The 14,631-nt window shown below is 34.2% G+C and overlaps 1 protein-coding gene and 1 pseudogene across 7 annotated transcripts in view; both read right to left on the bottom strand.

Annotated features, from left to right (window-relative positions):
• Window positions 1–1,915: 1,915 nt before the first annotated feature.
• Window positions 1,916–14,631, bottom strand: part of PKN2 (protein kinase N2) — a 151,983-nt gene continuing 139,267 nt past the window's right edge. For all 7 annotated transcript variants that reach the window (XM_047425224.1, NM_006256.4, NM_001320707.2 and 4 more), the window contains 5 exons: window positions 13,785–13,861; window positions 9,548–9,690; window positions 5,320–5,427; window positions 5,014–5,094; window positions 1,916–4,926 (listed from right to left, as the gene is read on the bottom strand). In XM_047425224.1, coding sequence (XP_047281180.1) covers window positions 4,723–4,926; window positions 5,014–5,094; window positions 5,320–5,427; window positions 9,548–9,690; window positions 13,785–13,861 — 613 coding nt within the window. In that variant the 3' untranslated portion in view covers window positions 1,916–4,722. The remainder of the gene's footprint in view (window positions 4,927–5,013; window positions 5,095–5,319; window positions 5,428–9,547; window positions 9,691–13,784; window positions 13,862–14,631) is intronic.
• ELOCP19 (elongin C pseudogene 19) lies at window positions 8,728–9,152 on the bottom strand (annotated as a pseudogene).

Raw genomic sequence — 14,631 nt, 5'->3', positions numbered from 1 at the left:
ATTTTATTTTTATGTAATTCTAGGTTAACCTTTTTTTCCCCAACACTCTGAAGGTAATATTCCACTACGTGCATTGTTGCAATTGAGAGGTGAGCTGGTGTCTTTCCTTTATAGACATTTAGTCCCTTTTCTCTGGATAGTTTCAAAATGCTGTCTTTGGTGATTTGCCATTTCACAATGGTTCTACGCATACATTTATATTTATCCTGTTTGGGAAATATTGTACTGCTTGGATATTTTTCATCTCCGAGAAACTTGCAGCCATTATGTCTTTAAATATTGCCTCTCATTCTTTCCTCGAGTCTCCATTCCATCTTCCGTATCTCTTAATCTCCCTTTTATATTTCCCATCTTCATTTGGGATTGACTTTTCAGTTTCCAATCTTCAGTTTTCTTCAACTGTCTAATCTGCTGTTTAATCTTTCCACTGAATTTCATATTAGAACAATTACATTTTTCATTTTTGGATTTTAAAAATGTTTGTTAAAATGTTCATTTTACATGTTTATACTGATAGCTTTAGGTATATATATGTATATATACTTTATATATAGCTATTCTATAACTTGTATCTGGTAATTCTTTTTTTTTTAAGTTGGGGACTTGCTCTGTCACCCAGGCTAAATACAATGCAGTGGCATAACAGCTCACTGTAGCCTTGACCTCCTGGGCTCAAGCAATCCTCTGACTTCAGCCTCCAAAGTAGCTGGGACTACAGGTGCACACCACCATACCTGACTAATTTTTATATGTTTTTTTTTTTTTTTTTTTTTTTTTTTGTAGAGAGGCAGTCCCGCTGTGTTACCCAGGCTAGTCTCAAACTCCTAACCTCAAGCAATCCTCCTGCCTTGGCCTCCCAAAGTGTTGGAATTACAGGCATGAGTCATTGTGCCTGGCTGATAATTCTAATGTACGAAATCTCTGACAGGGATATCTAAATTTAATATTTCTGTTGGTTCTTATTCAAGGTAACTTGCTGTCTCTCGCATGTGGTTAGGGATTTCTGACAGTGAATTACTTGATCTTAATCTGTGGAATCTGATAGTCCCAACCTGGAGAAGCTTCCATCCAGAGAATATTTCCTTCCACTGTCAGGGAAAGAGTGACATGCAAACTAAAATATGAACTCGTCTACAGGATTTAAGCACAGAAGATAAGTCCTGATGCTATTGCAAGGTTTGCTATCCTCAAAATTGTGTTGCTAGAGAAATCTATCCTTGGTAACCCCACTTCTCTTGGGTGCCTGCATTTTCAAAACCTGCTCCTTGCCATTGTGACTCCTATCTTTTCCAACTTCCTGCTACTCTGCCATACTCTGTAGACTCAGCTTCCAGTTCTCTCAATATTCCTACTTTTGTGCTTGAGCACTCCCACTCTAACTCTTAGGTGCTGAAGCCCTAACTTGTCCAGACTCTGCTCAAGTTTGTTTGCTTGTTTTGGGGTGAAGGGTTGCCAGAGACCACTCTTACCTTTATTGAGATCATCAATACCTCAAATTACGTATCTTATTGACGGTCTTCCACTAATTTTATATGTATATGTATACATATTATTTTTAATAACTTTAAAGCCTCTACCCATCATACTAATGTATAAAGCCAGTATCTCAGAAAAACCCTAGACCTCAAAAGATGGCTGGAAGGTAAATAAGAATTCTAAATTTAAATTAAGGTTATGATCTGTGGATTAGTATTTGCTTCTTTGGATTTTTCATACTTACTCCTTCAGTGGCTTTGGGAATACTGGCAGTACTTGCAAAAATCTTGTTAGACTTGAATCTGTACAGCAGATTTACCAAGTCAATATATGATTGCAATTTCCATTATGTCCTCAATTTGTGTTACAGGGAGAGCATGGATCATTTTATATTTCTAAAATATTCCATTTGTAATTTTTAAGTAAGATTACTATAAAATACTAGTATTCTGTTTTATTCATTTGCCTTTTTGAGAAGCCAGGTCCTAAATTAAAATAAGCTAACCTCAAACAAGAGAAAAGTACATACAATACTGGTGCTTGCATCTTAATTAAAACAGGCTGTTCTTCATTCATCAACATTTTGTTGCTTTAAAAAAAAAAACTTCCTATTCTCAGTATCTATACACAGTAAGCAGTCCATAAATATGCTTCAAATAAAAGATGCTACTGACCTTACAGGAGCAGAATACAAACTTTTCCCATTATTCCCAATGAAGTGGACAGTTTGCTCTGAATGTTCATGGTTTTAAGCCTTCACTAGGACAAAAAGTACTTGCAAGAATGTTTATTAAAGTTAATTAGTCTTTGAGATTTTGAACACAGAAAAGTTAAAGTATATTTTAATCATTAGGAAGTTTCTAAAAGGAAAGAATACTTAAAACCAAAGTTACAAATTTCAATCTATATAGACTTTAATTTGTGCATTTGTGATAATTTATGACTGCAAAAAACACTTGTTTTCTTAGAATGACATAGTGAAAGGCACATTTCATTTGAATGCATAGTGTACCATTCTAAAATATCCTAATTTCTTTACAAAGTGCTTGAGCAGTCACATACACATACAGTAATAGCAAAATATATTTACACTCTATAAAGCTTAAAATTTTAAATCTGACTAAAATATATATATATTTTAAACTACAAAAAATTAGTGCTTTCTTCAGCTTAATTGTGTAAATAGACCCTGCCTTCTAATTTTTTTAGTGATTGACTTCAATTAAAAAAAAATTCTGTACACTGTGTAGTTACGAAATGCTGTCAGTTTTTAATGCTAAGAGCCTATTTTAGACATTACTTTCTTTGCTATTTGAGAACCAAAAAAGTGAGCAGACTGTACCTCAAAAGTATTTAGTGTTTTATTTTAATGTTGTATTAACACAGTTTAAATTAAAGCCAGACAATTAAGCTAAGTTCCTCTATTGTCCTTTGCCGAGGAAATTAACTGGCATTTTAAAATAACTTTAAACCACATATTGTTCCCCCATTCTATAAGATTTTCTCCCAAAGGATCTTGGGTAATAAACAATTTGGAAGGTAATATAAATGATCTCTGGACAATTTTAATTGTTCTCAGAGTACAATGAAAAGATGCTAAAACATCCCAGCAAATATTTATAAATGTTTTTAGCTCAACTCTCCATAAATCAGTGTGCTTTTTCATGTTTCTCATAAGATTTACACCTGAACAATTTTTAAGAGATGAGCTCACTGTAATTAAATAGTTAATTCAGTATGGTTACTTAACAGCTTGCTATTCCTGAGGTATAATGACCCTAACATGCTAAGCACAGGATCAAAGATGCTATTACTAAACTAAGAAAAAACAATAAAGTCATAGATTAGGAGAAAAAAATATAAAATCAAACCAAACCAAAACAAACAAAAAACTACAGGCAAGTGGAAAGTCATGGTTTGTAAAAAGACAACCCTAAAAGAGTATAAAAAGCCACAGACGGATCCTTTGAAGAGTTGTATAAAATATTTCATCAAATTATTTTTGAGACTTTTGAGGTACAGCTTTAGTGTTATAATTCATTTTTTAATAAAATATAGACTGTTTTATCAAAAATATTTATACATTCTGTTACAATATATTGCTTTTGCCCTCAATAACTGCCAATATAAAATCTGGATCCAGTGGCCTAAAATGTACAAATGCACTTAATGTAAATGCTGGAGTTTGAGGTGTCTGCTTGGCCACTGTACAAAAGTGATGAAGTGGTAAAATTAAATAATAAGCCTACAACATAGAATACATTAAAACTTGCACATATACATGTTCACAGCATGTATACAATGATAATCCCTACGGTTTAACCAAGTTATGGTTCCCTTCTACAGCAGACACAAAACCAAGGTGAACTAGGTTGGCAGATGTAGAGTGAATACCAAAAAAAGGGTAATCGGTTCACTGATTCTGAAAGATATGACTGAACATACTGAGCATCTAGACTTTGGGAATGCATACAGGTAACAATATCTTGGTTCGGCTGATTAAAAGTCCTCATTCTTAACATCTTAAGTAAATGCTGATCCTGTTTGTTTCAGCACTGTTTAATAAACAAAAAAAATTGTTTGGCAAGCAGCTCTGTTGGAAAGCTATAAGCCTGTTACATGATTGATAAAAAAGGCAATATAAAGTTTTCTCCTAATAAATATAGAACATTTATAAAATAAGACATCAATTCATTCTGTTTTTTTAAAAAAAATCAAGCCCCGAGTTGTATACAAACTGCCACGGTTTTTGATATTACAGTAATGTCTTTTTTTTTAAAAAAAGGAGCATTTGCCTTATTCAAACAGAATCATACTTTGTGTGAACAGTAATAGCATTCCAAGCCCTTTTTTCTTTTTATAAAACATAGTTAAGTGATTAACTTTCCTTCCACTTAAGGCGGGCATATGGCAAAGCTAGGGACTATAAAAAAGTGGTTTTTTTCTTTCTTTTTAAAAATAGACTATTGATCCAAAAGTATTCGTGATGGATTTTCATGGCCGATGTTCACTCAACTTAAACTCCATGAAACTGTTTCCAGTGCTCATATTTACGCTGAAGTACAATGAGGAGCCACTTTTGAAGAAGTATTAGAATGGTACTTTTAAACAAATCTTCACGTGTTTCAATAAAAACAACAACAACAAAAAACTCAGAAGCTATTGGTGGCACAGAGAGCAAATGAAGGGTTGCTATTTTTAAGAGGTCTTCTTGTGAGTCAGCTTGGTTTCGCAGTGTCTAGCAACTTAACACCAATCAGCAATGTAGTCAAAATCTCTGAACATTTCCTGCTCCTCTTCCGAAAGTATCCTTGGTTCTCGAGGTGGAGTCAGAATAGGTGCTTCTGAGGTAAATTCATCATCAAAATTACTAACATCTTCTCGTCCTCTTATGGTAGGTATAAATGGTGGCTTTACTTTTTTGTCCATCAGAGCGCTCCAATCAATTAGCTGGATCATAAAATAAAAAATGACTAGTTTAGTTTGTTAAATCTAATCGCTCTAGTTTCATAAAAAATTTTAAATAGTCACACTTACCCGGAAAAATGGGTGCTTTTTTACATCCTCTGCATCTTTCTCGCTAGCCCCAAGGCGCCGTTCAGGATTTCTTCTTAACAGCTAGCATAATGTAAAATAAAAAAGTTAAAATAAAACCAATAGAATAAAATTCACTGATAAGGATTATTACTTTAAAAAACTTAGATATATTTTGTCTTTTTTTGTCTAAGCCATGCAACATTTATGAACTGAAAAACAGCTTTTAAAGTTCTACTGGGAAATTTTCTTTAGTATAAAAAATTAAAGTAGTCTTTAAAAAATTCTTATCCTTATTTTAATTCTTACCCTTCTCATTATAGAAATGGCTTCTGTAGATAAGAACCTTGGATACCTTACTTCATCATTTACAATACTGTCAAAAACTTCCTCTTCATCATCACCAGGAAAGGGAGACTAGAAGAAATACCTTTGAGTAAGTTAAAGCAAGTTTTAAGGCAGTAAAATCTTATCACCCATTCAAAGTACAACCAAGATCCAGGCAGTGAAAAAGAAAAAACAGACAAAACAACAACAACAACAACAACAACAATAAACCCATGCCTACCAAAACAACAACAAAAGAACTATAAGAAGTGACAACAGATATGTATCTATTACAGAGGGAATACACCATATACTCTTTCTGAAATCTTTAAATTTTATAGACCCTTATAAAAAACTTGTCTATCTCATATATGATATGACTTTTCATTTAATTTCATTCCACTCCATTCCATTTTATTTCATTCACTCAATCACCTATTTGGCCAGACAGTCAATTTTTAGTGTCTAACAGACAGTAGGGAATATTTAGATAATAGATAAATCCTGAAGAACCTCAATCTTGTGGAAAAACAGAAGAAAATGGATAAGGTTAATATGGTAATAAATGTTATAATAAAGGAAGGCAATCTGCGGAAATACATCAGATATAAATGTGCTTTGGATTTTAAAGTCAACAGTAAATTAATGGTGGTAAAACACAATCATGGATTAGCAAGCATAATGACTGTATTAAGAAGCAGCTGCCAACAAAATTAGACTGAAAGGAACCCAAAAAGCACACATTGCCAGGCATTTTTAATGTTCTAAACACAAAAAGTTTTAGGGCATTTCCATAAGCTCAGTATTAAAATCATTTTTCATAATGACCCTGAGACATAAAAAAGTAGTTACATTATATTCAGTATGACAATTTGATTCACAAAGAGAGAAACTTTCAACTATGCTAAAAACGTGTCTATCAAATGTGACTGCCTGCCTCAGAATTTCAGATGGCTTAAAAATCACTCAGTCATTTTTTAAATCAGGAAACAAATGTCTAAATATCATTTAATTCCTTAAAATCACTGAAATGAATTAGTATCTTGAACCTTATTTTCTCACTGGCTATTGAAGAAATATAGGCTTACTTAGCCTCGTTAGATTTGATTTGGCTGCTTGCTTCCAATTAAGTTTTAAAGAATAATAAGCAGAAAGCAATATCCAGGGAAAGTGAGCAATCTTTAAGAATCTGTGAAAATAAATTCAGAATCCAACTTCTTAAGGCTGAGCTTCTAATCTTGCTCACAGCTAAGAAAATTTCAAAGCTTACAGTTACCAAAACCTTAGTTTGTTCATTCACTCACTCAAAATACATAAATAAAATATACTACGTGGGACAATGTAGTACACTCAAAATACATAAATCAAATGTACTACATGGACAATCTAATTTCTTCTGGGGACTGAAACAGTAAGTCAGAAGAAAATTTTATTTTACTAGGATTCTCAATGGGAATTTCAATGGATAATACAAAGACAGCACTTTGGTCTTCTGCTTGAACAATTTTTACTTGAAAACTCATTCTACAAGTCTGAACAGCAAAGAAATATCTATACATTTGTTAAAATATGTAGTATCTTTTTTCTGCAAATAGATTGTAAGCAAACAGGGCTAACAACTGAAAGCTAACAAATGTGTTTTCAGCACATTTAAAGGAAACCAATAGTCTGTTCAGATGTCAACACTGACAGTATCTAAAACCATGTCCAGCATTCTGTTCAATCTCTCTGGTATCTTCACTCCCATCTGAGACAGGAAAAAGGGGACTTGCGATGTTTGTTTATTCCTGGAGTCTTTCCAGTAATCAAAACTAGTAGAAGTATACAAATCTGAACATGTATAATATATCCGGTGAGTTTACAATTATTTGTAATAATAGAGAAATCTGACATAAACTTTAGCCACACCTTACTTTCATCATAGTTAAAAAGGAGTTATCACTAGCATTTCACTAATGCTATAAAATTATGAAGTAGACTGATGAGTTTTAAGTTTAGTTCTTTTCCCAGCTACCCTCTTGTGGAGATACTAAAGAGAAATTGCAAGAAACAACTGTGAAGAAATAGCCAGATCCACTGTCTTTTATCTTCTAGGTAATTAAGAGCTCAATCAATTAGCTCTTTTAAAAAACATGAAACAGGAGCTTCCTTGTTTTCTGCCAAACCCTCCAGTGGCTTTATAATAGGAGGGAGTAGATTCAACTGGATTAATTCTACAGTATTTTGTAATAAACTCATATTTTGCACATGTCATCTCTAATATGGAGAGTAAATTTTAAGCAAGCACATAATTGAATCTCATAAATCTCATACTTACTTGAATACTACATGAAACAAAACCAAAAAAACCCTCCAAAATGTTACTGTTAAAATAAAGGAAGGGGGTGGGGAGGAGTTCAAGTATGCCAGAGCTTACAGCAGATTAACTATTTTATGAGAACTTCTGGCACTCTCAGAAAGTAAAAGCCACTGTGGACTGGAGCTAAAATAAATCTTTCCAACCTAAACACTGCACAACAGCTTTTCTAAATAGAGGTGAAAAATTCAGATCTGGACCACTAGTCTTAAGAACAGAAACAAGGCTGGATGAATTGAAGATCCTGTCCTGGAGCAGCAAAGCATAATGCTTTAGATATGCTCTGGAGCCAGAGTGACAAGGTTAAAATTCCAGCTCCACCATATGAGAGCTGTGTGACTTTAAGCAAGTCATTAATCTCTTTGTGTCTCTATTTACACCTCCGAAAATGGGCAGAAGATCAGTACTGAGCTTATTAAAGGCTGTTGCAAAATTAAATGAACTAATATTTAAGGCATACAGTACAGTGCTTAGCACATGATAAATTTTAATTAGCCATACTTCTCCTCCTTTTCCAAGGAATCCACTTCAAATTGACATACCAAAAGGGGTTATCCATCCGGCGAAACTAAAACCATTTGTTTGGGGTAAGTGCCAATAAATGACAAGCATAGAACAAAACTTTAGAAATTTCTGATATTCAATTTGATAATTTGTTCATTCAGCACTAACTTCTTCAAACTTACAAGTGTACAAGGGAGGTTGCTGGCATGGGGAAACTGCAGAATAATGAACCAATCCCTTAAAATAATTTTTCTTGCATCTCCAGTTCAAGTCCCTTCAAGTAATCTTCAATTACTTATTAAAAGATTTACTCTTTCCCAATTTCATCCCAATTCAACATTTCTAACAATTTATAACATAATAAATTATTAGTCTCCTATTATTGCCTTAACATAACTCACTGTTTCCTAATAGTAATAATTTCTATGTACAACTCAATTATCCTCAGAAATTTAAGTTAATCTACAGAAAACAGTAGGAAAAAATGCGAATTTTTTCAACTCTACCATTTTTTAAGGTAACACTTCTTTCATTTTTTTAAAATTATATTTTATTTAACAATCTAGGAAGTTCACAGCCATCAGCAGTTCTATAGCAACTTCAGGTGCAACTGGGAATTCAGGAATCTCGGTGGAGCTGTTGGTGTAGCGAATACTTTTGATAGCACATGTGAAGGTATCTCTCTCAAATTGACCTCATTGGTTTCATTCTCAGCAAATTGACCTGGGCCACTCAACATGGCTTTTATCGTGCTGATGTTAATGTACGTTCTGTTTTTACAATAAATTCATGGCCATCGGATGATATCAATTTGACATACATGGCATCAGGGCCTTCACAGCTACCATAGGTTTTCTCCTCTCTCCATCCATTTTGTTCTTACGAAATTCTACTTTGCTTCCCCAGGAACTTCAGTAGTTTCCCGGTGAAGCAAGGATGCAGAGTGTGTTGCTCAGACGGAAGTCTGGAGGAAGTCGAAGGTAACATTTATTTCTGACCAATCTATAGTGGGCTTTTCTTTACAGGTACAGAGTACATTCCTTTTATTAGTCTTTCTGTTATTCCATTCCCTATAAAATGACTATGTCTTAAAATCAGAAAACATAATAAAAGTACAATACTGAAATACAAGGAACTATTTTCAAAGCACTGATAGTGCATTCCACAAACCACATAAAAATCTTTATTGAAGGTATTACAGAAAGATAGCTGACTACTAGTATACTATAAATATTTATAAAACTTAAATTCCACTCATACTGAAGACAGTATTAGGTGGTTTTATAAATGACATGCTTTATTATTTCAATCATCCTTCCTCTGTTCTCTTACCTATTTCACACTGCTTACCTCACCAACAAGCATTTCATATATAAGCACGCCAAGGCCCCACCAATCTACAGCCCTTGTATAAGAAGTTTCTGTTAATACTTCTGGGGCAAGAAATTCAGGAGTGCCACAAAATGTGCTTGTTCTATCTCCATATCCCATTCCTGGAAAAGATAAAATGTAAACATTTGTTAGCAAAGAAAACAAATCTAGCATAAAAAAAAAATCAAAGCTATCTTTGGGAGGCAAAATTAAAGTTGCACATTTGTGCATGGTGAACAAATTCAGACATATCTAAGACATTTCAAGAAAACAGTAAGGACTGGTATAGCAAAAACTGCAATAGCAACTATACTGTCTAATTAATGGGTAAATAGAAATAAGATATCCATGTTTCTTTTCAGTTACTTTTTCTTCTTGTCATTACAAGGGAGCTAAGAAATTATAACAAAATGAACTGATTGTGAAGTTCCATTATCTTTCCAATTCAATCTTAAATAAGTTTATTTACTTCATTATAAAATCAACATTCTAAAAAAAATAAGTTTCAAAAATACCAAAAAGCAAACCCTTGGATAATCAGAAGCTGACCAAATGTGTCATATAATACAGAGAGATAGGGCCGTGTGCAGTGGCTCATGCTTGTAATCACGGCACTTTGGGAGGCCGAGGCGGGTGGATCACCTGAGGTCAGGAGTTCAAGACCAGCCTGGCCAACATGATGAAACCCGTCTCTACAAAAAAAACAAAAACAAAAATTAGCCGGGCATGGTGGCTCCCGCCTGTAATCTCAGCTACTCGGGAGGTTGAGGCAGGAGAACTGCTTGAACTTGGGAGACGGAGGCTGCAGTGAGCTGAGATTGTGTCATTGCACTCCAGCCTGGGTGACAAGAGCAAAACTCTGTCTCAAAAAACAAACAAACAAAAAACATATATATATCTCAATATATATTATATATAGAGAGAGAGAGAGGAGGGGACGGGAGGGGAGGGGAGAAGAGGGGAGGGAAGGGAAGGGAAGGGAAGGGAAGGGGAGGGAAGGGAGAGTACAGGTTGAACATCCCTAATCCAAAAATCCAAAATCTAAAATGCTTCAAAATCTGAAACTTTTTGGGCACCAACATGATGCCATAGAGAATTCCGCAAGTACTTAAGATTAGTTTCATGCACAAAATTATTAAAAATATTATATAAATTTACCTTCAGGCTATGTATAAGGTATATATGAAACATATATAAATTTTGTGTTTAGACTTGGGTCTTGGCCTCAAGATATGTCATTATTTATATATGCAAATATTCCAAAATCCAAATAAATCTGAAATTCAAAACATTTCTCATTCTAAGCATTTTGGATAAGGGATACTCAGCCTGTATTAACATTTTGGCTAACTAGTTTTTAAATATATGTTCCTCATAATTTATTAATATGTTAATCAAATATATAGTCTACATATTGAAGATATTATCTCTATGTATTCCAAAGTGTTAAAAACTTGTCATAAGTGTCATCTTTTTAAGAATTTTAAAGAAAAGCTCTCAATCCTAAATTAAGAATAATTAGGTATGCATATATAGTGACTATAAAATAGAAATGAATGTGTGTCTATGAACCAAGACCTGAAGGGCACAATTAGATACATTAGCACACTGGAGTGGAGAAATTTTTTTTTGGCAAAATTTCTTTAACACTATCATAATGATTTTTATTTTCTTCAATAAAATATTATTTAAAAAAACAGTGATATAGTATTAATATCTATGTAAGTTCTGCACCAGCCTTTTAGTAACTTGGAGAAAACTAGGAAAAAGTTAATTAATGAAGAAATATAACTTATGTTTCTTGTAGACTGGTAAAACTCCATGGAAGTGGTTAATATCAGGCTCTAGATTAATAAATACCTGGTTTAAGTTCCAGTTCTGTCATTTGTTAACTGTGGGAGGTTGGGAAAGTTGTCTAACATCAAATTCTAGGTTTCTTCATCTGTATATGAGAGTTAATAATACCATCTACCAGTGTGGAATGATAAGACAAGGAAGACTCAGAAGGGTGAGGAGGTGGAAGGGGGGTGGATGATGAGAAATTACTTAATAGGTACAATGTATGTTATTTGGGTGACGAATATCCTAAAAGCCTTGATTTCACCACTATGCAATTTATGCATGTAACAAAATTGCACTTCTACCCTATAAATTTATATAAATAAAAATAAAATAAAAAATAAAATATTTCCTCCAAAAAAACTATCTACCTTCATACGATTGTTATAAATTACAGGAGATATGCATATGAAGCAAAATTCTTGGCACACGGTAAGCACTCAAAAGTTGTTAGCTATATAATCTACTAAACATGTTTTTATGATAATGCATTAATAAGTCTGGTTATTCAACACACATATTTTCTGCACCTTTTATGTTCTAGGCACCTGTGTCAAGTAGCGGGAACATAAAAACGAGAGTAAGACACAGTCTTTAAGGGGCTTACAGGAGACTGGAGGGAAATGGATATTTATTGATAATTTTATAACAACAAGGGAAGAGCAAGATAAGGTAGAATAGTGAAGAAGGGCTCCTAAAGCAGACTTGGGAGTTGGGGTAGTAAAAGGGAATCTCTGGTAACTTGCCTGTAGAGGTTACACTTGAGTTGAATGACAAGGATGAGCAGATGTTAGTCAGCAAATAGAGTTGGGATGGGTGACAGTGCTAGAGGGACACAGACTATAAGCAGTTCATTGTTGCTGCAGCAAAAAGTACTAAACAGAGAGCAGCAAGAGATGTGGCCAGAGAGGAAGGCAGGCAGATCAGTAACGGCACTGTATGTCACCTTATCCTAGCCACTGAAGAGTTTTCAGCAGGTATGTGCCATGGTCCGATCTGTATTTATATGGACTCCTTAAGCAATTCAGCAATTACATGGCAGGTTGATTTGGGATAGAAAAAGACTAGAAATAGGAACAATTAGGAGATTATTATACCTGTCTTGTCAAAACAAGATAATGGGTGAAAGGAGCTGACTGGAAATGATAGATTTCAGAAATATTCAGGAGGTTAAGTGGCAGTAGAATTTTGTGAATAACTACATACGGGAAGTAGAGAACAGGATAGAACGCAAGATAATTCCTTACTTTCAGATTGAAGGCTGAGGGGATTGTGATACCAACACCCAGACTACCGGCGGAAAATAAATGATTTTTGTTTGGGTAGTGTTTGAGGTGTCTCTTCACTATTCAGGCAGAGCTGTCTAGTAGACAGTTGAATATATATCTTTGGAATCCATAGGAAAGGAAATAATAGATTTGGGAGTCATTAGGATATAGCTGCTAGTCAAAAAATTGCAGTGAAGAGCAGCCGGCTAAGGAGAGATGCTGAGAAACAAAAGCATTTAGAGGAACAGTGTCCAATAAAAAGAAGCCCAGTCAAGAAAAAACTTACTTGATTCAGCAATTAGGTCAGTGGGTATGTGATGGGCATATATCTACAGAGTTCATTCATTTATTCATCCAACTACTTATTAATCAAACACTTACTGAATACTTAAGATGTACCATGCACTGTGTTATGCACTATGGAAACAAAGCTAAATAGCAAACAGAAGCCACCAGTGCAGAGGGAGATAGAGAATGTTAGTAACTAGTAAACAGAAAGAACTATGTCCATTTTTTTATAATTGGGGAAATAAGACTCAAAGAGGTTAAAACTAAGTTTTCCAAAGACAAACAGCAAATAGTGGCAAAGCCACGATTCAAACCTAGAACTGTTTAGTGCCTAAGCCCATGATCTTTATCCTTTCTTATGTTACCTCTGATTCAAATTTCCCCAATTTACTTATTTACTTTTGAATATACAAAAAACATACATGAGATACCTATCTCTATTTATTTTCTATTTTTAAATGTTTCAACTTTAAGAAGCTGGAAGGAAATTATCAGGCCTATGAAATTCACTGTGTACAGTCTCACCAGAATAAACGATTTTGGTGCTTAATCAATACTTCCTTAAAGTAGTGACAAAATTATTAATCACACAGAGAAGCTTACTATGATTTCTATACATCTAACCTTATTTGTATTCAGAGAACAAATTCTTAATGTGATAATTAGGTTATATAAGCAATGTTTTCATTGTATCTACAATGTCTTAATGAAGAATAAAGTTAAAAGTACAGTTTGTTTTCCATAGACAAACTTGAAAACTACTGATGCACAAAGAAACAGTAATTCTGAATCAGAAAAGAAACTTAAAAACATTCGATTACCTTCTTTGCAAAGACCAAAATCAGCAATTTTCACAAAGCCCTCTGTATCTAGCAATAAGTTATCCAATTTCAAATCTCTGTTCAGGATAAAAAGATACAGCATGAAAAAAAAAAATCAAAGAAATCAGTAGGTTATACAGTTAAAAAAATAATTGCAATTGGAACTGTGTTTTCTCTTTATTAAAAATGGGATTTCCAAGTTATGATTTGAGATTTAAATACTATAACACAAACATTCAGTTTTCTTCCTTTTGGTAAGTTTATTACTCTATATAAGGTAGCTCATGAGAAATTCTTCTCCTGTTACATAAAAAAGGAAAAATGTATTTAATTTGTTATTTGTGATAATCTAATTTAATCCTTTTTTTTTTTTTTTTTGAGACAGAGTCTCACTTTGTCACCCAGGCTGGAGTGCAATGGCGTGGTCTCAGCTCACTGCAACCTCTGCCTCCCGGGTACAAGCGATTCTCCTGCCTCAGCCTCCCGAGTAGCTGGGACTACAGTCGCGTGCCACTACACCCGGCTAACTTTTGTATTTTTATTAGAGAGGCGGTTTCACTATTTTGGCCAGGCTGGTCTTGAACTTCTGACCTCGTGATCCGCTGGCCTCAGCCTTCCAAAGTGCTGGAATTACAGGCGTAAGCCACCACACCCAGCCTTTTTTTTTTTTTTTTTTTTTTTTTAAGACAGAGTCTCACTCTGTCACCCAGGCTGGAGAGCACTGGTGTGATCTTGGCTCACTGCAACATCCACTTTCCAGGTTCAAGCAATTCTCGTGCCTCAGCCTCCCAAGTAGCTGGGACTACAGGTGCCCACCACCAAGCCTGGCTAATTTTTTTTTATTTGC

The sequence above is a fragment of the Homo sapiens genome, chromosome 1, assembly GCF_000001405.40.
Source record: "Homo sapiens chromosome 1, GRCh38.p14 Primary Assembly".
NCBI classification, from domain to species: domain Eukaryota; kingdom Metazoa; phylum Chordata; class Mammalia; order Primates; family Hominidae; genus Homo; species Homo sapiens.
The sequence above is the reverse complement of the archived record's forward strand: the minus strand, read 5'-3'. Positions and strand labels throughout refer to the sequence as shown.